Below are 24423 nucleotides of genomic sequence, written 5' to 3'. Positions count from 1 at the left end.
AATCTAGTGTTAGATCCTGTCTTCTGACACCTCAGGAAAACAGGCCAAACTCAGAAGTGAGTATACATTGTAAATTTATCATTTCTAACATAAGGTATTTGAGAAAAAAATAAGATAATCTCTCAATATTTATTTCTTTAAAAATTAAAAAAAATAAATGACCAGGCAAGGAGGCTCACATCTGTGATCCTAGCAACTCAGGAGGCTGAGGCGGTAGAATCACTTGTGCCCAGGAGTTTGAGACCAGCTGGGGCAACATAGTGAAACTCTATCTCTATAAAACTTTTTATAAAAATTAGCTACGGTGGTGTGCCATGTCTGTAGTCCCAGCTAATCAGGAGGCTGAGGCTAGAGGATTCCTTGAGCCCAGGAGGAGTTCAAGGCTGCAGTGAGCCATGATCACACCTGTGAACAGCCACTGCACTCCACTGTGGGCAACAGAGCGAGACCTAAAACAAATGAATATGCAAACAAAAATAAAAAATAAAATAGTCTGCCGAACAGTCATTTACTGGTTAACAGGTCTGGAAAACAAGGATGCTAATTCTCACCAGGTTGGAGAGGAAAGACTGCCAGAGTGAATGTAAACCACACATATATTCGTGACTACATGCAAGCCTGCTGAAATCACAGGTGAGTACTTCTTATTTAATGCTCTCCAGTATCATTTACTGACCTTCATGTGGCCTTAAACACTAGACGATTAACATGTATGAGATCTCCTTTCCTTTCTCCTTATATCCTCTCCATTTCCTTCCCTAATTTTTTTTCAGAACTCCAACTTCCACACTTCAAATTTCTTTCTTAAAAGTGAAAAACAAAACAAAAGCACATATTTATGGAAATGAGTACTATGCTCATTGTGCTTGCCTTCTTAGAAGTTCAATTCAATTGAAACAAAAGAACCAAAAATTATATGGTGAGGAAAATAAATGCTACCTTGCTCCATCATACCACAGAAAGAATGTAACCCATAACCAGAGTAAAACGATGGACGAAAAATAAGATAAATAAAGAAGTTTGATTTGAGCGAATTTCTTCTCTTGGCCATCTAAGCCCCTCCACTCCATCTTTTCTTCGGGCAGATATCCTAGAGCTAAGCCTGGTGGATGTCTCAAGTAACCACGAGACATACACTGAGCAGGGCAGAGTGCTGCCATCTCCCACGCAGGACAGATAAGCAGAGCGAGTTCTGACAGGTAGTTATGGCGTGGGTGTCGGGACATGGGAACCAGGTGGAATGATTTTCCTTTCTTCATACCAAATACCAAAGTGTGCCAAGGTCCAGAAATTTGGATGCCAGACTCTTAGTAAAAGATGAACAAGAAGCAGGCTAGCATAGAAATCTTATCTGTTCTCTTATAAGCCTAGCCAATAAATTCACACTCTTTCCCCTAATTTCCTACCTATTTAAGAAAATATGTTACACAAGCACTCAACTTAAACTGACTAGTAGAACACAATGGGATTCTTCTCTTATGATCTAATTCTAAGATTCCCTTGGTTGTTCTCATTCTGCCCCTTCCTGGCAAGTAATGCTAGGCAACTTTTTAATTTATTTGAGACACAGCCAAGTTACCCCATATGCAAAATAAACCCCATTTCAACAGGGTCATTGAGGAAACTGAGTGAGAAAATATGTGTAAAATAGATTCTGCAGCACCCCACATGGTAGGTAGGTGCTCACAGAACAGCAGCTTCATTTACTGTACGCATTTTAAAAACCAAAGTTCAGTATCCAAATTTTTCTAGGACTTTATGTTCATACTGGTCTTACTTTAGGTAACAGATGCAAACCACCCCCTATCCCCTGCTACCACCCACTGCAAATGTGCTGTCTGTGCAATCATGTTTTCCACTAAAATTTCTTCTGGAAATATAAGTTATACAATCATAGCCACATAGTCAACCCATGGGACACTTCAGCTTTGTTAATGAGCAGTCTACTTAAAATTTAACTATCGTATATAATCCTGGTAATAGGTTTTCAAATGACCAAGCCATGTGATCATTAGACACTCCTTTCTTTAACTATTTTTCCTAATTAAGTGCAGAATCTTTCTCCACTTAATTCTTCCCATGGTTGCAAATTTTGATTATATCAGGAGACATATTTGGTTAAATACTCTCAGCTCCCACAGGAATGCGTCGATATTGATGAGCACTCTGAGGGGGCCTTCACTGAATGAGAAATTATGCTCCCAAGACAGCGACTCTGATCCCTTAACTTTATCCCATCACCTTCATTTCAGGAGTAAAACTGTTTCATAAAAGTAGAGAAATTTAAGGGAATAAGTATAAACCAAAAAGTATAATATCACCAATTCTATTTTCACGAGGACTTAATGTTTAAACAGTTGTATCTATTACGCTGTTATCACAGATACAGGTATTTCAATCATTAGCTCATGAGCATACAAGTCTTTGCCACCAGTTTTAGTCCCTGCCACTACTTGTCCACATGTGTTGTGTCTGCTACATTCATTCATTCACTCACTCATTCATGATGATCCTGGCCCTCAAGGAACCTGCAGCCTATTTGGGGAGAGAGGTAAATAAGGCAATGATTACCAAGAGCTATGCCAAGGCTCTTGGCACTATTGTGATGTGATACCCAAGCCCAGCTCTTGACTAACAACTGCAAAAGAGCCACCACGGGGAAGTGGGAGGAAGCAGTAAACTCCTTCCGGAATTTAACAGGAAAAGGTTTTCTGAGAAATCTATGCACATTCAATCTACATTTAAAAAATATTTAATAGTGTTTAGAGGTCCTTGGAAGAACAATGAATAAATATTTTTGTCAAAGGAAGATTTAATGGGAAAACATGTAACTTCCATTCGAACTTCACTGGACTCTGATTAAAGTAGCCCAGCCAATGTAACCCATGCAGAAAAATGTCCCAAAGGAATGGTTATAATATAGCTTTCTGATAATGTTTGGTTTTAAATACTTAATCTATGTCTGTAAAAACATATGCTTGTGATTTATTTGCTTCACTTATTTTTCATGTATGTGTGATATCAAATAGGTTCCCAGACATAAATGCTCCGTTACCGCAAATCTGAGCTGTGGTTGTTACGCATTCACTGTTCAGGTTTTAAGTACCTGGTGAGCAACTGTAGGCTAGGCATTCTATCAGATTCTAGAAAGGCATTAATGAATACGGACATAATGAATGATCACAAAAATGCTAATTACCAGACATGAGCAAAAAAAAAAAAAATCACACATTCCAACAGATACTAAGGCAGTATTTTTTTTTTTTTTTTTTTTTACAAAAAACCTTCATCGGCCAGGCATGGTGGCTCACGCCTGTAATCCCAGCACTTTGGGAGGCCAAGGTGGGTGGACCACCTGAGGCCAGGAGTTTAGTGACCAGCTGGCCAATGTGCTGAAACCCTGTCTTTACTTAAAATACAAAAATTATTTAGGCGTGGTGGCGGGTGCCTGTAATCCGAGCTACTCAAGAGGCTGAGGCAGGAGAATCACTTGAACTGGGGAAGCAGAGGTTGCAGTGAGCCGAGATCGCTTCACTGCACTCCAGCCTGGGTGACAAAAGTGAAACTCCAGCTCAAGAAAAGAAAAACAAAAAACCTTCATTAGGGCTTGGTGTGGTAGCTCATGCCTGTAATCCCAACACTCTGGGAGGCCGAGGCAGGAGGATCATTTGAGTCCAGGAGTTTGAGAGCAGCCTGGGCAACACAGCAAGACCACCATCTCTACAAAAAATTTCAAAATTAGCCAGGCATGGTGGTACGTGCCTACAGTCCCAGCTACTCAAGAGGCTGAGGCAGGAGGATCACCTGAGCCCAAGAATTCAAGACTGCAGTGTGCTATGACTGCATCACTGCACTTCAGCCTGGGCAACAGAGTGAGACCCTGTTTCTAAAAAAAAATAAAAAATTTAAAATAAATAAATGAAAACAGTCATCAGTATAAACATAAATTTATTACCTTGGTTAAATACTACAATGAACAGAAAAAACATTAGCATCTGAACGTCTTGTAAGCTAGTTGTAAGGCAGAATATGTTTGTTCACTCAGAAATCAAATTTTTTAAAAAAAATTATTTAAATATGCGTAATTCTCAGGCAAAACTGATAAGTGCCAAATGAGTGATCAATAAGCTCCAATCCTTAGCTTTTTGTATACTGGTTGCATTTTTAATGCAAAAAAATGCACTTCTGTGGCTGAAAAAAAAAAAAGATGGCAAACGAAATAAAGAAACTGAGGAAGAACTATGAGTGAAGGAATAAAATACATAAACATGAATATATCTTCATAGGTATATACACCTTATCAAACACTATATTTTTGTAGCTTCTAAGTCACCTTTCCCAACTTTTTAATTCACATATATGATTGAGAAAGGCACTTTGTGAATATATTTTCTTTAAAGATATAAAATAATACCTTAAAATGATACAGCAGAGTCAATACGTTATACGGTAGATTCTAATCTGGTATGGTTAGGAGAGCTGTTATTTCACCAAATCAGGCATGGAAAATCAGTAAATAGACAAGAATGTGATACTAGTATCAAAGCGTTGTCTGTATATGAAGCCTTAAAAGCAAAAAAACCCCATAACCCTGAAAAAAACAAAAGTATTAATAAGCTTGTTTTAAAACAACTGATTTCCCAGACCCACCTAACATGCAAAGACAAGAGGAACATTCCTCACTCAGTCAGAATCTACACTGAAACTTATGTGAATGAACTTGACCCGGGCTGGCAGCAATCCAGCAATCTTCGTCACTGAATGACTTAACAGAACACTGTGTTCTTGGCAAAAGCACAAAAAATGTGTTGAAATCCACACTAAAAAAAAAAAAAAAATCTCAGTATAGATTTAAATCAATTTTAAAATACAATGATAAAAGATACTAAAATATAATAAGGGATTTTCAGTGTTTGGTACATATTTAATTCAGGTAACATTTTTACCCTCATGCCATTTTGGTCACTTTCAATCTTCCCTTGAACAATTGCTCCAACCCTCTCCCCACCACACTAAACCTACGCTCTGGCCTCCTCCTGTGTTACAACTTCTCCAACACTGTACCTGGAAAATTCCAAAGCAACCTAAGCTTGCATATTAGGGAGGGACAGCAAGAAAAGCCAGAAACAATGTGTTGACTCACTTCCGTGGAAAGCCCTAGAGAAAAATCTAGGCCACAGTTCAGCACTCTCACGCGTTGCAGCTGGAGCAGGTAAGAGGCGGTGAAGTTATGTCATTCTCACACAGGTCCTGCTAATTCGGCCACAAGGGTAAGATGCAAATGAGAAGGTAAGTAAAATACAATCTGGCGTATATATAAGTATGCAGGCAGTCTACACACTTTCAGAAAAAATACGATTTTAATTATTTTGACTCCCACCATGTTTGATGCTATTTAGAACTTAACTTTTTGAATAAAAATTTAACAAAATTAAGTTGAACAAAATTGTATCATATTTGGAAAGAATAACTTTTTTTTTTTTTTTTTTTTTTTGAGATAGAGTCCCGCTCTGTCGCCTGGCTGGAGTGCAGTGGCATGATCTTGGCTCACTGCAACCTTTGCCTCCTGGGTTCAAGCAATTCTCCTGCCTCAGCCTCCCAAGTAGCTGGGACTACAAGTGCATGCCACCACGCCCAGCTAATTTTTGTATTTTTAGTAGAGATGGGGTTTCACCACGTTGGCCAGGATGGTCTCGATCTCTCAACCTCATCGACTCGGCCTACCAAAGCATTGAGATTACAGGCGTGAGCCACCACGCCTGGCAGAAAGAATAACTTTTCAAGTTACTTTACTTAGTTTTTGCCATCCTCCTTTTCCCCTACTTTAAATTTTGCGTCTCCCAGAATGCCATCCTTGTTATATAACATCATGATAGTTCATTCTCACCATTAGCAAAAGCAGTTCACAACCACCTCATACTCTGGGGAAAACCTACACAAGGCCTAAAGCGTTCAGAGTGAACAAGATCCAAACCACAAACATTTAGCAGTCTACGCTGGCAGAATCCACCACAATGAAAAATGTTTAGCCCTTCCTTTCACCCCTCAACATTGTAGTTTTCAGTCTTAATTTTTCACCACATTTACTGCTAGTGGCTAAAATAAATCAGATCTCTCATCCCATAGCAACACATATCCAATGTCTAGGCTAAGACACATAGACATATAAAGCCTTTAACTGTAATGTTTATATTTTACAGCCTAGACTCCAGATGAAAACAAGAAGTACACGGTCAAATTATTTTCTTTCTTTCTTTTTTTTTTTTTTGTTGAGATGGAGTCTGGCTCTGTCACCAGGCTGGAGTGTAGTAGCGCGATCTTGGCTCACTGCGACCTCCGCCTCCCGGGTTCAAGTGATTCTCCTGCCTCAGCCTCCCGAGTAGCTGGGATTACAGGCACGCACCATCACGCCCGGATAATTTTTGTATTTTTAGTAGAGACGGGGTTTCATCAAGTTGGCCAGGATAGTCTCGATCTCTTGACCTCGTGATCCACCTGTCTCGGCCTCCCAAAGTGCTGGGATTACAGGCGTGAGCCACTGCGCCCAGCCCAAATTATCCTCTAACACAGTAAAATGTTTAAAGGATCCTGAACATCTGTTCTTTCAAAATTATAATATACAGTTATCCCTCAGTAAGCATAGGGGATTGCTTCTAGGACCTGCTCACTCCGATGACAAGAAAATCCAAGGATGCTCAAGTTCCTGATCTAAAATGATGTAGTATTTGAATATAACATTATATACATCCTCCTGTATACTTTAATTCATCTCTAGACTAGTTATAATGCCTAACACAATGCCTACGTATCACTTCATTCAGTGTAGTACTCAATGTGGCAAAATCAAGTTTTGTTTTTTGGAACTTTGTAGAATTTGTCTTTCCAAATATTTTTGGTCCATGGTTGATTGAATCCACATATCCCATGGATATGGAGGGCTAACTGTACTTTAAAAGTTATGCTTTCAAAATTAAGACATCATTTTGTTTAACTTGTGTTCAAAAAGTTAAGTTCTAGGTATCATCTTCCCCACCCTATGGTCCCATACTCCAGCCTGCAATGAGTATTAAACACACCTGTTTCATCCCAGCTCTTTACCACATTTTCTACTTTAAATGTGGTAAATCCCACTCGGTCTTCAAAACCCAACTCAGTTTCCTTTCTGAACTCACCTACCTTCTTCACACTGCTTTTAAAACATGGGACCTCAAAATAATAATCAATTCTGAGAGGATATGTTTCAAGACCCCCAGTGGATGTCTGAAAACATGGATAGCACCAAACGCTATATTCACCATAGATTTTCCCATGAATACATGCCTATGATGAAGCTTAATTTATAAATCAGACACAGTAAAGAGATTAACAACATAATAATAGAACGATTGTAACAACATGCCAGCATTACTATTCTTGCATTTTGGGGTCACTATTAAGTAAAGTAAGAGTGACGTGAACACAGCACTGAGATGTTGTGATAGTCAATCTGATAACAGACCAGCTACGAAGAGACTAACAGGCAGGAGCATCTACAGGATGGACAGGTGGGACAAAACAGGGGATTCATGTCCCAGATGAGACAGAATGGGGTGACAAGAGATTTCATCATGCAGTTGAGAATGGTGTGGGTGTGCTCTAAAATTAATCACTCCTAGAATTTTCCATTTAATACTTTCAGATTATGGCTGATCACAAGTAACTAAGGCCTCAGAAAACCAAACTGTGGATAAAGGGGGGATTACTGTGTATCACACAGAAGTTGTTTCTCAAATGTTATAGTACTGCTTTCAAATTTAAACTTTCATTTAAGCCAGCCATTCTTGACCATAGTATGATGAGGGCTGTGGTCAACAGCTAGGAAAAGATGTTAGATATGGTCGCAAAATAATAAAGTACTATAAGGTTTACATTTGCTCCTTTATTTAAGAAATTAGGCCAGGCACAGTGGCACACGCCTGTAACCCCAGCACTTTGGGAGGCCGAGGCAGGCAGATCACTTAATGTCAAGAGTTCAAGACCAACCTGGACAACATGGTGAAACCCCATCTCTACTAAAAATACAAAAGTTAGCCAGGCATGGTGGCACACGCCTGTAATCCCAGCTAAGTGGGAGGCTAAGGCAGAAGAATCGCTTGAACCCAGGAGGTAGAGGTTGCAGTGGGCCGAGATTGCGCCACTGTACTTCAGCATGGGTGACAGAGCGAGACTCTATCTTTTATTTATGACACATAAATTATAACAAGTGTCATCTTTCACGTGTCAAGGAAAAAAAGGTTTAAAATCGCTAATCTTAGCAATCACACTCAGAGCTGCTCAGAGCATTTTCTTGGGAATCTGCAAATATTCTTTGTTATAATTTACATAATTCCATTCATACAAATTTCATTAAAATGGGGATTACAATAACAGCAAATTTGTTGGATTATTAAGAAAAACCCGATCATTCCAAGATGGCTGAATAGGAACAGCTCCAGTCTAAAGCTCCCAGCATGAGCGACGCAGAAGACGGGTGATTTCTGCATTTCCAAAGGAGGTACCGGGTTCATCTCACTGGGACTGGCTGGACAGTGGGTGCAGCCCACGGAGTGTGAGCCGAAGCAGGGCGGGGCATCGCCTCACCCAGGAAGCACAAAGGGTCAGGGAATTCCCTTTCCTAGCCAAGGGAAGCCATGACAGATGGTCCCTGGAAAATCGGGACACTCCCGCCCTAATACTGCGCTTTTCCAATGGTCTTAGCAAACAGCACACCAGGACATTACATCCCGCGCCGGGCTCAGTGGGTCCCACGCCCACGGACCCTTGCTCACTGGTAGCACAGCAGTCCGAGATAGAACTGCGAGGTGGCAGCGATGCTGGGGGAGGTGCGACTGCCATTGCTGAGGCTTCAGTAGGTAAACAAACTGGCCAGGAAGCTCGAACTGGCTGGAGCCCACTGCAGCTCAACAAGCCTGCCTGCCTCTGTAGCCTCCACCTCTGGGGGCAGGGCATAGCTGAACAAAAGGCAGCAGAAACTTCTGCAGACTTAAACATCCCTGTCTGACAGCTTTGAAGAAAGCAGTGGTTCTCCTAGAATGGAGTTTGAGATCTGAGAACAGACACACTGCCTCCTCAAGGGGGTCCCTGACCCCCAAGCAGCCTAACTGGGAGACATCTCCCAGTAGGGGCTGACTGACACCTCATACAGCCGGGTGCCCCTCTGAGACGAAGCTCCCAGAGGAAGGATCAGGCAGCAACATTTGCTGTTCTGCAATATTTGCTGTTCTGCAGCCTCCACTGGTGATCCCCAGGCAAACAGGGTCTGGAGTGGACCTCCAACAAACTTCAACAGACCTGCAGCTGAGGGTCCTGTTAGAAGGAAAACCAACAAAGAGACAGGAATAGCATCAACATCAACAAAAAGGACATCCACACTAAAACCCCATCTGTAGGTCACCATCATCAAAGACCAAAGGTAGATAAAACCACAAAGTTGGGGAGAAACCAGAGCAGAAAAGCTGAAAATTCTAAAAACCAGAGGGCCTCTTCCCCTCCAAAGGATCGCAGCTCCTCACGAGCAATCAAATAAAGCTGGACGGAGAATGACTTTGACAAGTTGACAGAAGTAGGCTTCAGAATATCGGTAATAACAAACTTCTCAAAGCTAAAGGAGGATGTTTAAACCCATCGTAAGGAAGCTAAAAACGTTGAAAAAAGATTAGACAAATGGCTAACTAGGATAAATAGCGCAGAGAAGACCTTAAATGAACTGATGGAGCTGAAAGCCACGGCACGAGAACTACGTGACGCATGCACAAGCTTCAGCAGCCGATTCATTGAAGTGGAAGACAGATGACTGAAGATCAAATGAATGAAATGAAGCGAAAAGAGAAGTTTAGAGAAAAAAGAGTAAAAAGAAACGAACAAACCCTCCAAGAAATATGAGACTATGTGAAAACACTAAATCTATGTTTGATTGGTGTACCTGAAAGTTACAGGGAGAATGGAACCAAGATGGAAAACACTCTTCAGCATATTATCCATTATCCAGGAAAACTTCCCCAACTTCGCAAGGCAGGTCAACATTCAAAATCAGAAAATACAGAGAACGACACAAAGATACTCCTCGAGAAGAGCAACTCCAAGACACATAATTGTCAGATTCACCAAGGTTGAAATGAAGGAAAAAATGTTAAGGGCAGCCAGAGAGAAAGGTCAGGTTACGCACAAAGGGAAGCCCATCAGACTAACAGAGGATATCTCGGCAGACACTCTGCAAGTCAGAAGAGAGTGGGGGCCAATATTCAACATTCTTAAAGAAAAGAATTTTCAACCCAGAATTTCACATCCAGCCAAACTAAGCTTCAAAAGTGAAGGAGAAATAAAATCCTTTATAGAAAAGCAAATGCTGAGAGAGTTTGTCACCACCAGGCCTGCCCTAAAAGAACTCCTGAAGGAAGCACTAAACATGAAAAGGAACAACCAGTACCAGCCACTGCAAAAACATGCCAAATTGTAAAGACCATCGAGGCTAGGAAGAAACTGCATCAAATAACGAGCAAAATAACCAGCTAACATCATAATGACGGGATCAAATTCACACCTAACAATATTAAATTTAAATGTAAATGGGCTAAATGCCCCAATTAAAAGACACAGACGAGCAAATTGGATAGAGCCAGGACCCATCAGTGTGCTGTATTCAGGAGACCCAACTCACCTGCAAAGACACACATAGGCTCAAAACAAAGGAACGGAGGAAGATCTACCAAGCAAACGGAAAACAAACAAAAAAAAGCAGGGGTTGCAATCCTAGTCTGATAAAACAGACTTTAAACCAACAAAGATCAAAAGAGACAAAGAAGGCCATTACATAATGGTAAAGGGATCAACAAGAAGAGCTAACTATCCTAAATATGTATGCACCCAATAAAGAAGCACCCAGATTCATAAAGCAAGTCCTTACAGATCTACAAAGAGACTTAAAGACTCCTACTACACAATAATAATGGGAGACTTTAACACCCCACTGTCAATATTAGACAGATCAACGAGACAGAAAGTTAACAAGGATATCCAGGAATTGAACTCAGCTCTGCACCTAGTGGACCTAATAGACATCTACAGAACTCTCCACCCAAAATCAACAGAAAATACATTCTTCTCAGCACCACATCACACTTATTCCAAAATTCACCACATAGTCGGAAGTAAAGCACTCCGCAGCAAATGTAAAAGAACAGAAATCATAACAAACTGTCTCTCAGACCACAGTGCAATCAAGTTAGATCTCAGGATTAAGAAACTCACTCAAAACTGCTCAACTACATGGAAACTGAACAACCTGCTCCTGAATGACTACTGGGTAAATAACAAAATGAAGGCAAAAATAAAGGTGTTCTTTGAAACCAGTGAGAACAAAGACACAACATACCAGAATCTCTGGGACACATTTAAAGCAGTGTGTAGAGGGAAATTTATAGCTCTAAATGCCCACAAGAGGAAAGATCTAAAATCGACACCCTAACATCACAATTAACAGAACTAGAGCAGCAAGAGCAAACACCTTCAAAAGCTAGCAGAAGGCAAGAAATAACTAAGATCAGAGCAGAACTGAAGGAGACAGAGACACAAAAAAACCCTTCAAAAAATCAATGAATCCAGGGGCTGTTTTTTTGAAAAGATCAGCAAAATAGACCACTAGAGAGACTAAGAAGAAAAGAGAGAAGAATCAAATAGATGCAATAAAAAATGATAAAGGGGATATCACCACCAATCCCACAGAAATACAAACTACCATCAGAGAATACTATAAACACCTCTACGCAAATAAACTAGAAAATCTAGAAGAAATGGGTAAATTCCTGCAAACATACACCCTCCCAAGACTAAACCAGGAAGAAGTTAAATCTCTGAATAGACCAATAACAGGTTCTGAAATTGAGACAATAGCCTACCAAGCAAAAAAAGTCCAGGACCAGACAGATTCACAACCAAATTCTACCAGAGGTACAAAGAGGAGCTGGCACCATTCCTTCTGAAACTATTTCAATCAATAGAAAAAGAGGGAATCCTCCCTAATTCATTTTATGAGGCCAGCATCATCGTGATACCAAAGCCTGGCAGAGACACATCAAAAAAAGAGAGTTTTAGACCAACATCCTGATGAACATCAATGCAAAAATCCACAATTAAATATTGGCAAACTGAATGCAGCAGCACATGAAAAAACGTATCCACCACGAACAAGTCGGCTTCATCCCTGGGATGCAAGGCTGCTTCATTCAATATACGCAAATCAATAAACGTAATCCATCACATAAACAGAACCAACGACAAAAACCACATGATTATCTCAATAGATGCAGAAAAGGCCTTTGACAAAATTCAACAGTACTTCATGCTAAAAACTCTCAATAAACTAGGTATTGATGGACTGTATCTCAAAATAATAAGAGCTATTTATGACAAACCCACAGCCAATGTCATGCTGAATGGGCAAAAACTAGAAGCATTCCCTTTGAAAACTGGCACAAGACAGGCATGCCCTCTCTCACCACATGTATTCAACATAGTGTTAGAAATTCTGGCCACGGCAATCAGGCAAGAGAAAGAAATAAAGGGTTTTCAATTAGGAAAAGAGGAAGTCAAACTGTCCCTGTTTGCAGATGACATCATTGTATATTTAGAAAACCCCATCGTCTCAACCCCAAATCTCCTTAAACTGGTAAGTAACTTCAGCAAAGTCTCGGGATACAAAATCAATGTGCAAAAATCACAAGCATTCCTATACACCAATAAGAGACAAACAGACAGCCAAATCATGAGTGAACTCCCATTCACAATTGCTTCAAAGAGAATAAAATACCTAGCAATCCAACTTACAAGGGATTTGAAGGACCTCTTCAAGGAGAACTACAAACCACTGCTCAATGAAATAAAAGAGGACACAAACAAATGCAAGAACATTCCATGCTCATGGATAGGAAGAATCAGTATCGTAAAAATGGCCATAATGCCCAAGGTAATTTATAGATTCAATGCCATCCCCAACAAGCTACCAATGACTTTCTTCACAGAATTGAAAAAAAGTGTTTTAGCGTTCATATGGAACCGAAAAAGAGCCCGCATTGCCAAGTCAATCCTAAGCCAAAAGAACAAAGCTGGAGGCATCACACTACCTGACTTCAAACTATACTACAAGGCTACAGTAACCAAAACAGCATGGTACTGGTACCAAAACAGAGATATAGACCTATGGAACAAAACAGAGCCCTCAGAAATAATACCACACATCTATAACCATGTGATCTTTGACAAATCTGACAAAAACAAGAAATGGGGAAAGGATTCCCTATTTAATAAATGGTGCTGGGAAAACTGGCTAGCCATATGTAGAAAGCTGAAACTGGATCCCTTCCTTACACCTTATATAAAAATTATTTCAAGATGGATTAAAGACTTAAATGTTAGACCTGAAACCATAAAAACCCTAGAAGAAAACCTAGGCAATACCATTCAGGACATAGGCATGGGCAAGGACTTCATGTCTAAAACACCAAAAGCAATGGCAACAAAAGCCAAAATTGACAAATGGGATCTAATTAAAGAGCTCTGCACAGCAAAAGAAACTACCATCAGAGTGAACAGGCAACCTATAGAATGGGAGAAAATTTTTGCAATCTATCCATCTGAAAAAGGGCTAATATCCAGAATCTACAAAGAGCTTAAACAAATTTACAAGAAAAAATCAAACAGCCCCATCAAAAAGTGGGCAAAGGACATGAACAGACACTTCTCAAAAGAAGACACTTATGCAGCAACAGACACATGAAAAAATGCTCATCATCACTGGCCATCAGAGAAATACAAATCAAAACCACAATGAGATACCATCTCACACCAGTGAGAATGGCAATCATTAAAAAGTCAGGAAACAACAGATGCTGGAGAGGATGTGGAGAGATAGGAATGCTTTTACACCGTTGGTGAGACTGTAAACTGGTTCAACCACTGTGGAAGACAGTGTGGTGATTCCTCAAGGATCTAGAACTAGAAATACCATTTGACCCAGCCATCCCATTACTGGGTATATACCCAAAGGATTATAAATCATGCTATTATAAAGACACATACACACGGATGTTTACTGCGGCACTATTCACAATAGCAAAGACTTGGAACCAACCCAAATGTCCAACAATGATAGACTGGATTAAGAAAATGTGGCACATATACACCATGGAATACCATGCAGCCATAAAAAAGGATGAGTTCATGTCCTTTGTAGGGACATGGATGAAGGTGGAAACCATCATTCTGAACAAACTATCGCAAGGACAGAAAACCAAACACCGCATGTTCTCACTCATAGGTGGGAATTGAACAATGAGAACACTTGGACACAGCGTGGGGAATATCACACACCGGGACTTGTCGTGGGGTGGGGGGAGGGGGTAGGGATAGCATTCGGAGAAATACCTAATGTAGATGACGAGTTAATGGGTGCAGCACACCAACATGGCACATGTATACACATGTAACAAACCTTCACGTTGTGCACATGTACCCTAGAACTTGACGTATAATAATAATAAAAAAAAAAAGAAAAAGCCAACAAAATACATAAAATGGCCCAGTAGAGTCTGCCACAGAAGATTAAATACGTAAGAATGTCCTACAAGCATTTTCTTTTCCCCCCCGAAGGACAATTCTCCAGGTGACCTTGGATGGACCCAGTTCTCCCTGATCCTCCCTGTATTCTTAAGAATTAACTGTAGAAACTTCTGGGAATGAAACATCCTGAGAAAGGGAAGGACTGGCAGGAGAAGCCCAGGTTCTGTTTAAATCCCTGCCCGAAACAGGATGTCCTTCCACACTTTAGCCCATCAGTTCTGTGGCCCCTAGAGTATAAAACCCATGTCACGCTGCTTTCTGAGGTCCTGCAGCTGTGTTGAAAGTGAAGCACACGCAGATGAGACTCCATCCACCCCAGGCAGCTTTCCTCAGCTTTGAGAGACTGGCGCACAAGAAATCCTCAGGCTTCTTCTGGCCCTCACTACCTGTCTGTAAGTAATAAAGCAGCTTCCCGTAAGTTCTGTCTCACTGAACTTGGACAAGTTGGTAACCAGTGCACAGTGACCCTGTTTCACACCCTCCACTTCATTAGTTCATTGATTCAGCAAACATTTAGTGAGTATCTAGCACATGTCAACCTCTATGCTAGGTACTGGGAATGAGAAATATTAACCTAAAGAAGAGACTCGAGTCTCTCCCCTAACACAAAAGTCCAGCTTTCAGATACCTGATGTCAAAAATGGTACAGATAAAGGGAATCTTTGTTTTCCTATTTTGCATCTTAATTTTAATACTGTCAATCAGATTTTTATATTCCAAATAAATGTTTTATATTAAAGGCACTCTGTATTCTCAAACACTAGAATTTTTATTGGGTATTTAAAAAAGAAAAAATACCATCAATAAACAAAACAAGGCTACAATCTTCAAAACTTCTCCTAAGAGTTAACATGGATGATATGACATCCACCTAAACACAATATTAATTTACTAGTATAATAAAGTTAGAACAGCTAGATAATGAGCTTGGAGAGTGTGTGTCTCAACAATTTCCAATCAAACAGAACCCTAGATGCGACTGGGAGATTTGTTTTTATAAATTATGTACATATTCTGAAATATCTGCTCATAAATATGACTAGTCTGGTTTTAAGAACATGTTGGGAAAATGCTCCCAGTGACTCTATTAATACAGTACAGCCTAAAGTCAGAAAGAAAGGGTAGCCAAGAGAGGTATCTGCACTAAAGGTACATAAATATTTAAACACCAGCGTCGATAAGAAAGGAAATAATAAGAAAGGAGTGTACAATGTGTGCTAAAAGCTACCTTTATAAATATAAAAAATAAGACATTTCAGGCCGGGTGCACTTGATCATACCTGTAATCCCAGAACTTCGGGAGGACGAGGCAGGTGGATCACCTGAGGTCAAGAGTTCGAAACCAACCTGGCCAACATGGTGAAACCACTTCTCTATGAAAAATACAAAAATTAGCCGGGTGTGGTGGCGTGCACTTCTAATCCTAGCTACTCGGGAGCCTGAGGTGGGAGAATCACTTGAATCCGGGAGGCGGAGGCTGCAGTGGGCCAAGACCTCACCACTGCACTCCAGCCTGGGTGACAGAGCAAGACTCCATCTCAAAAAAAAAAAAAAAAAAAAAAAAAAGACCTTTGAAAGTACAATAGAAGATGGGTGAGAAATATGAGGAAGAGAATCTGCCTTGTGTTCCCATGACAACTAAACAGGTAGGGCGGCATGGGGGAGCCCATGCAGGAGGTCAGGCCTGCCCTAGGCTGCTTTCCCAGCTCTAAAATTCAGACAATTCCATATGACGATAAACAAATGGAAATGTCTCCCAAACTAGACAAAATCCTCCTCCCATACTAAATCTTAGTACAAATAGTTAGACTTCTTTAACAGTTTCCTTAAATACACAATTTCACATAAAATATCTTTTTCGAGATCGCTAGAAATAGTAATAAAAAGGTGAAGAATGGAAAAAAGCCCGATAGAAGGCAGAGCTGCAGCAAATACATTGGTGGTATTCTCCATGCGCAACTCCGAGAAACACGTCCTGTGTGGTTTTGGCAGGGACTGCAGAGGGGAAGATTCTGTAGGAGCTGCTGAGAATGCCAAGCCAGATAGTGCTGCTGCTTTCTATGTGCTGTGATGAGAAGTTATAATAGATGGCAATAAAGGTCTAGCAAAGGAATCTGAAAAATGCTCCTGGATGCACACAGGAATATTCCCATATGTTTTTCCACCATGAGCGACAAATGTTACTAGTGGCTCTGGAAACCAAAACTTAGGAAGTGGGTATCAACAATGTAAAACTTAGACAACAGCAAACACAGGGGTGGAGATCCAGGTGTAGGGAAAAAAAAGTTCTGTTTTGCATAAGAATTATCTGCAACAAAGTAAAACATTAAACTGAGAAAAAAAATTGAAAATGGAACAGAAAATGGAATTTAGTATTTACTAACCTATTATTACTAATTTAAATGTGTGGAATACTTTTTAGTTCCCAATTTTTTTTTTAAACAAACAAAAACCATGCATGTTTATTTATCTCTAAAGGCCCTGACCTGCAACCAAAGTCCTGCTGGTATTATTCTTCCCATAGGTTTTAAGTTACTTACACAGAAATTCTTCTGCTATGAGACATTTTTAAGAACATATTCTTACATATGGAAAGGGAATATCATACTACCTCATAGCCTTGCTGTGAAAATTAAATGGCATAGACAAATATGTCAGGAAAGGTTATCTATCAGTACACTGTTTCAACTCCAATTTTTCTAATGCCAACTGAGTGTACTGCAATTCAATTCTGACATTAACTACCTGAGTTAGCACAGACCCCACAGGTGAAGGGTAAAGTCCTCCACAAGGCTGCCCTCACTTCTGATATGTCAGTCTCAGGAACGGGCATCCCCCCCAAGCTGACTGGCTACAGAGGGGCTCCCACAGTCCATTCAGGTTTAATAATTCACTACAACTCATAGAACTCAGGAAAAGTGCTACACTTACAACTAGTTTAACTATAAAAGATACACACAGGGTGAGGTTTGGGAAGGTCCCAGACACAGAGCTTCCATAACCTCTCCTAACTCCATGATGTGGAGCCAGGATGCATCAGTCTCCAGACACTGATGTGTTTGCTAACCAGGAAGAGCCACTGAGCTTTAGTATCCAGAATTTTAAGTTTCATTATGCAGGAATGATTGATTACATCAGTGACCTCCCTAGAGTTCAGGTGGCTGAAGGCCCAGCCTTCTAAACATGTGTTTGGTATTTCTAGTGATGAACCTTCAGAGATCTCCACCTAATTACGCAACAAAGACACTCCAAGGATTTTTGGGGTTTTTTTGGTTGTTGTTGTTTTGTTTTTTCACACACGGTCTCACTCTGTCACCCAGACTGGAGTGCAGTGGCGCAATGTCGGCTCACTGCAACCTTCGCCTCCTGGGTTCAAGTGATTCTCCCACCTCAGACTCCTGAGTAGCTGAGACTACAGGGTGCCACCATGTCCAGACAGTTTTTGTATTTTTAGTAGAGACGGGGTTTCGCCATGTTAGCCAGCCTCATCTCAAACTCCTGACCTCAAGTGATCTACCCACCTCGGCCTCCCAAAGTGCTGGGATTACAAGCATGAGCCACTGCACCTGGCCTATTCACGTTTATTGTACGTGTTGAGAAAAAGCCAGAAACCGAACTTAAACTTCGAGTCCCACGGTTATATCTCCCCTTGGGAACTCGTAGCCATAAAGGACAAAATGCCCCTAAAGCACACATTTATTGATAAAGCCCATAACCTCTTTTGTGTTAGAAACTTCATCTACTTGGAAGGTGAAGAAAGAAGGCATAATATAAAATCATAACAGCCACTAAAAATAATAAACATGAAAAACTGGAAAAGCCCCACAAAATTATACTACATCTATAATACATTTATGGAAAGACTACATTTACACTTATGGATAGAAATGAAAGCAGCAATAGAAGAATGTAAACAGTCCAGGCGCGGTGGCTCACGCCTGTAATCCCAGCAGTTTGGGAGGCCGAGGCAGGTGGATCACGAGGTCATGAGTTCCAGACCAGCCTGCCCAACATAGTGAAACCCCGTCTATACTAAAAATACAAAAAATTAGGCAGCTGTGGTGGTGGGTGCCTATAATCCCAGCTACTTGGGAGGCTGAGGCAGGAGACTTGCTTGAACCTGGGAGGCAAAGGTTGCAGTGAGCCGAGATCACACCATTGCACTCCAGTCCAGGCGACAGTGCGAGACTCCACCTCAAAAAAAAAAAAAAAAAAGATTGTAAACAGTTATGTTATGCTCAACATGTATTCAGCTTAAAGTTTTTGTTTTAAATAAAAAAGTGAGTTTTCCTTTTCACTCTAAACAGTCCTCTAAATGCAAAGAATATCCTTATCTTGTGGGTTTTTTAAATAAATACCCATTTTCACAAGCCCCAGTACTTAGTTCACTCTCATCTACTGATCTTCTCCAGGTAAGCGAAAAAAACATGGAAATTATTAAGATATAGGTTAATTACATAAAAAGAATGGTAAATAAATTTTCATCTTCAAATATTTTTCTCTGGCTACAATCACACACACATGGGGAATTAGTTTTTAATAGGAGCATGTTAGGTTAGTTCTCCATAGAAAAATAGTAGGATCATAGTAAATTCGTTCTCAGTAGAAACACAGTAAATTAAACAGAAGGGGCAATCTTATCAAAGCACAACCTAGAACATTTTCAGTTTGTTTTTTCTAAAAAAGGCAGAAAATCGCTAAACTTCCAAAAATCTAATCCCATGATTCTGTGTTAAATCTTAATTCTTGAATGGTGAATCATTTCTGAAAGATGATATTTAAAACGGAAATGTTAAATATTTAAAATCCCTCTGAGCAGTTGTACTAAGACAAATTCAAAGATCTAGTTAATAGTGACCTCTTGCTCATGAAGGTTCACTCTAAGTAGTACTTTTATCTAAACTACAACAATGCAAGCTCAATTGATTTTATTCATTTTGTCCTTTACTCTTAAAAGTAATTCCCTATTCTCACCTACATTAAGCCATTTAGGCTGAAAGACGTCAAGGCTGACCCCCCCACAACAGCTGGGATGGTATCTACTAACATAAATTTGAGCAGGACTACCCTTAGGATACGTGGAAGCCCTGGGCAAATAATTTTTTGTGAGGCCTCTTTATGTATAAATAATTTGATTTTAAAGTATATTACAAAATGATGGGCCAATGGACACTAGAATGATTTTTCAATAAAGTTTTAGAACATTAGATAGAAAATAGATACTCTTAAGTATTTATTTATTGTTCAATCATGCACAAGAACTTTCTTCAAAGTGTCCAGGCACCATCTCTAAGTTCTTCATTGTTCTATCTGCTTTTCCTGGCTGATTTCCTAACTTTCACCCAAGAAAAAGGCAACAACACTAGTATTGCTCACAATGCCATGGCTCCCATGACATGTTAGTATTGAAACAACATATATCTGCTGCAGTTCATTAATGCCATTTATTTAATGCTGGTTCAATCATTACTAATGATGCTGCATCTTCCACTGTAATATATACGAATACAAACTTCCAATGACTCTCTCAAAGGTAGTTATTGTGTTTCATTTGACAATTTCAAACTTTCTGGTCATGTTAAATTTATATGGGGAATTTCATACCATAAAAGTAGAACAACATATCTTTTAACCATGTCCCATCTTGAAATCTTCAGGCCAAGCTTACCACTAGATCATTACAAGAATGTAATCTCTTTCCATTTGGAATGCACCTGTGGCCTCCCACACACCACCACCAGGAAAGGGACAGGCAAGAGACCTACAGGCTGGGGATAAGAGTACAGAAATGGAAAAGCTTACTCTAAACTTCATATAGAGACACAAAAGAATAAGAAGAACCAAAACAACCTTGAAAAAGAAATCAAAGTTATAGGACTCTCACTTTCCAATTTTAAAACCTATTATAAAATTACATTAATTAAGGTAAGGTGAAACTGACATGAGGATAGACATATAGACCAATGGAACTGAATAGAAAATCCAGAAATAAACCTATACACCTACAGTAAACTAATTTTTCACAAGGGTGCCATGACCTTGAAATACTAAAAGAACACTCTGCTTAAAACATGGTGCTACAACAGCTGAATATTCACATGCAAAGTAATAAATCTGGACACCTACCTAACACACTACCAAAAAAGTTAATTCAAAACGGACCATACACCTAATTGAAAAGCTGAAACTATAAAGATCTTAGAAGAAAACACAGGTATAAATCTTCATGACCTTTTTTTTTTTTTTTAAACAATGGTTTCTTACATGTGACACAAAAAGCAGCAGCAACCAAAAACATACTAAAAACAAAAACTTTTATGGAAAAAAAGATGGTATTAAGGAGGTGAAAATAAAACCCAATGATGGGAAAAAATATTTACAAATCATACATCTGGGAAAAAAAAAGACTTGTACACCGAATACATACGGAACTCTGACAAGTCAATAATAAAAACACAAATAAAGGCCAGGTGTGGTGGCTCATGCTTATAATCCCAGCACTTTGGGAGGCTGAGGCAGGAAGATCACTTGAGTCCAGAAGTTCAAGACAAGCCTGGGCAACACAGCAGAACCTTGTCTCTACAAAAAAATTAAACAATTAGCCAGAGGTGGTGGTAGGCCCCTCTGTAGTCCCAGTTACTCAGGAGGCAGAGGTGGAAGGTCAGGTTGAACCCAGGAGGTCGAGGCTGTCGTAAGTTATCATCAGACCCCTGCACTCCAGCCTGGGTGATAGAGCAAGACTCTGTCTCAAAAAAGAAGCAAAACCAAACAAAACACACACACACAAGCCAATTGAAAAATGGGCAAAGAATTTAAATAGACGTTTCTCCAAAGAACATATACAAATGGCCAATAAGCACATGAAAATATCCTTAGCCATTAGAGAAATGCAAATCAAAACAAAAAAGATACCATTCCACACCCACTTAGAATGCTATAATGAAAAGTGAGGTGAAGGGCTGTGTTGATAAGAATATGGAGAAACTGCAGACCCTCAAACATTTCTAGTGGGAATGCAGAACAGTGCAGCCACTTCAGAGAAAAATGTCAGTTCCTTAAAAAGTGAAATACAAAGATAACATGATCTAACAATTTGACTTCTAGGTATATATACAAGAGAACTGCACACATATTGAAACCAACTCCAACAGTCCCACAGTTTTTTAATACAAACATAGAAATTATTTTAAGCTTAAAACTTATATTTATCTGAGTTCCTTCCTCAGGGAACAACCTTCTGCTCTGAGTTTCTTCCTCAGGAAATGACCTTCTGCTCTCAAAAAATATCAAAGAACTGAAATTCACCAGATCACCACATCCAAACAATGAGATGCTGGAAGCTTCATCATGATTGCTTCCTTGCCCCTCCCTAGCTCCTGTTTTGTTACACATTGTTACATTTTTTCCTGCTACCTAAACCCCTAATTTTAGTTGGTCAGGGAGAGGGATTTAAGACTGAGCTCCCATCTCCCCAGCCATAGCACCCAATTAAAGCCTTCTTCTTTGGCAATACTCTTTGTCTCAGTCACTGGCTTTCTGTGCGGCAAGCAACAGGACCTAGACCAAACCCCTGGTGTTTCAGTAACAGTATGTTCACAGAAAAACTTGTGGATCAATTTCAGAGCAACAGTATTCATAACAGCCAAAAAGTGTAAAAACACCAAACATAAAACAAGTGGTGAACAGATTTTTAAAATGTGCTACATCTATACAATGGACTACTACTAACCTCCAAAACCGAAAAGCAAACAGGGAAGAGACTGAAAAAAATAGAGTATCTAAGAAGTGTGGGAAAACTATAATAAAATGTACACTTAATGGGAATACCAGAAGCAGAGAAAAAGGGACATTAGAAATATTTGAAACAACAATGACTGAGAATCTCCCCAAATTACTGTTACACACCAAACCACACACAGATCCGAGAAACTAAGAACAGCAAGCTAGACAAATGCAGAATTAAAAAAAAAAAAGCAAAAACTTAGGCATATCATTTTTCAACTACAGAAAAATCTAACAAAAACAAATTTCTGAAGGAAGTTGAAGGGGGTGAAAACACCTTATTTACAGAGAAGCAAAGATAACAACTTCTTCTCAGAAACAGTGCAAGCAAGAGTAGACTGAAATGTTTAAACTGTTGTGAGAGGCCTGGGCATGGTGGCTCACGCCTGTAATCCCCACTTTGGGAGGCCGACGTGGGTGTATCACTTGAGGCCAGGAGTTCAAGACCAGCCTGGCCACCATGGCAAAACCCCGTCTTTACTAAAAATATAAAAATTAGCCAGATATGGTGGTGCACACCTGTAATCCTAGCTACTCGGGAGGCTGAGGCAAGAGAATCACTTGAACCTGGGAGGTGGAGGTTGCAGTAAGCTGAGATTGCACCACTGCACTCCAGCCTGGGCAAGAGAACGAGACTCCCATTTCAAAAAGAAACCAAAACAAACAAACAAAAAACCACATAAACAAAGAATGAACTGTTGTGAGAAAAAAAATTACCAATCTAGAATTCTGTAGTGAGTAAAATCATACTTCAAAACTGAAGGAAAAATATCTTGTCAGATGAACAAAAATTGAGTCACTTTGTTGCCAAAAAAACTGCCTTGCAAGAAGTATTAAAAGAAGTTCTACAGAAGAAAGAAAATAATATAGGTCGGAAATTCAGTTCTACATAAAGAAAGGAAGAGCTGATGAAGGAATAAATTAGACAGTAAAATTTTATTTTTTTATTCTTAATTGACCTAACAGATAATGGTTTGGTCAAAATAGTAACAGCAACATGTATTCAATTATGTATGCTCTTATATGTATTTATGTATGCTTACATGTAAGTAAAATGAATGCCAGGAACAGAAGGAGAAATTAGGATAATTTTGCTATTATACTCCACATTATCTGTAAATGTGTAACAGTGTTATTGGAAAGTTGGCTTGCATTAGTTGTAAATGTATACTGCAAACTCTAAGGCAACCATTTTAAAAGCTAAGAAAGAAGTGTAAGGGATATACTAAGAAAATGAGAAAAAAATAGAATCATATAAAATGCTCAAAGAGTGGAAAATAAAAATAAGAACAAAGGACAAGAACAACAAATAGAAACCAGTAACAAATATGGTAGATATTAATCCAATTATACCAATGATGATTTTAAAAGTCAACACACCAATTAAAAGACAAATTGTCAAAATGCAATAAAAAACAAGAGCCAACTGCATGTTGTCTACAAGAAACTCACTTCATATGTAAAGATACATATAAACTAAAAGTAAATGGATTGAAGAAAGATATATCATGCTAACATTAACCAAAGAAAAGCAGGAGTAGCCTATTAATTTCAGGCAGAATACACTTAAAGCAAGGAAAGTTATCAAGGATAAAGAGGGGCATTACCCAATGATAAAGGATTCAATTGTCCAAGAAGACACAACAATCCTTTACATGTATATACCTATCAACAGAGTGTTAACATAAAGTAAAAACAAACTGCAAAGTGAAATAAATTAGTCCACTATCATAATCCGAGACTTCAAGATCTCTCACAGAAATGGACAGATTTAGCAGGCAGAAAATCCATAAAGATATATTTGAACACAATAACACCACCTATCAACTGGATATAATTGACATTTATAGACCACTTCATCCAACAATAGCAGAATACATATCCTCTAGATTACATGGAACATTCATCAAAACAGATAACATTCTAGGCCATAAAATACATGTTAACAAATTTTTAAAAACAGAAATTATATAACATCTTCTCTAAGAT

The 24423-nt window shown here is 39.4% G+C and overlaps 1 protein-coding gene and 1 long non-coding RNA gene across 55 annotated transcripts in view, besides 1 other annotated feature; one reads left to right on the top strand and one right to left on the bottom strand.

Annotated features, from left to right (window-relative positions):
* Positions 1 to 3244, top strand: part of LOC107986940 (uncharacterized) — a 30305-nt gene extending 27061 nt beyond the window's left edge. Inside the window, exon 3 of the long non-coding RNA XR_001745888.3 lies at positions 523 to 3244. This is a non-coding gene — a long non-coding RNA (uncharacterized LOC107986940). The remainder of the gene's footprint in view (positions 1 to 522) is intronic.
* The window catches only part of SPIDR (scaffold protein involved in DNA repair), a 475429-nt gene that overhangs the window by 377760 nt on the left and 73246 nt on the right, over positions 1 to 24423 (bottom strand). The window lies entirely within an intron of this gene.
* Positions 4474 to 5673: an enhancer, noted in NCBI's record as "P300/CBP strongly-dependent group 1 enhancer chr8:48265441-48266640 (GRCh37/hg19 assembly coordinates)". NCBI's record gives its function as "activates an origin of replication core promoter dependent on BRD2, BRD4, P300/CBP, MED14 and CDK7 cofactors, with strong dependence on P300/CBP, by STARR-seq in HCT116 cells {active_cell/tissue: HCT116}" and the evidence as "EXISTENCE:reporter gene assay evidence [ECO:0000049][PMID:35650434]".

This window comes from Homo sapiens, chromosome 8, assembly GCF_000001405.40.
Source record: "Homo sapiens chromosome 8, GRCh38.p14 Primary Assembly".
Classification (NCBI taxonomy): Eukaryota; Metazoa; Chordata; class Mammalia; order Primates; family Hominidae; genus Homo; species Homo sapiens.
This window is presented reverse-complemented; position numbering and strand designations above follow the sequence as displayed.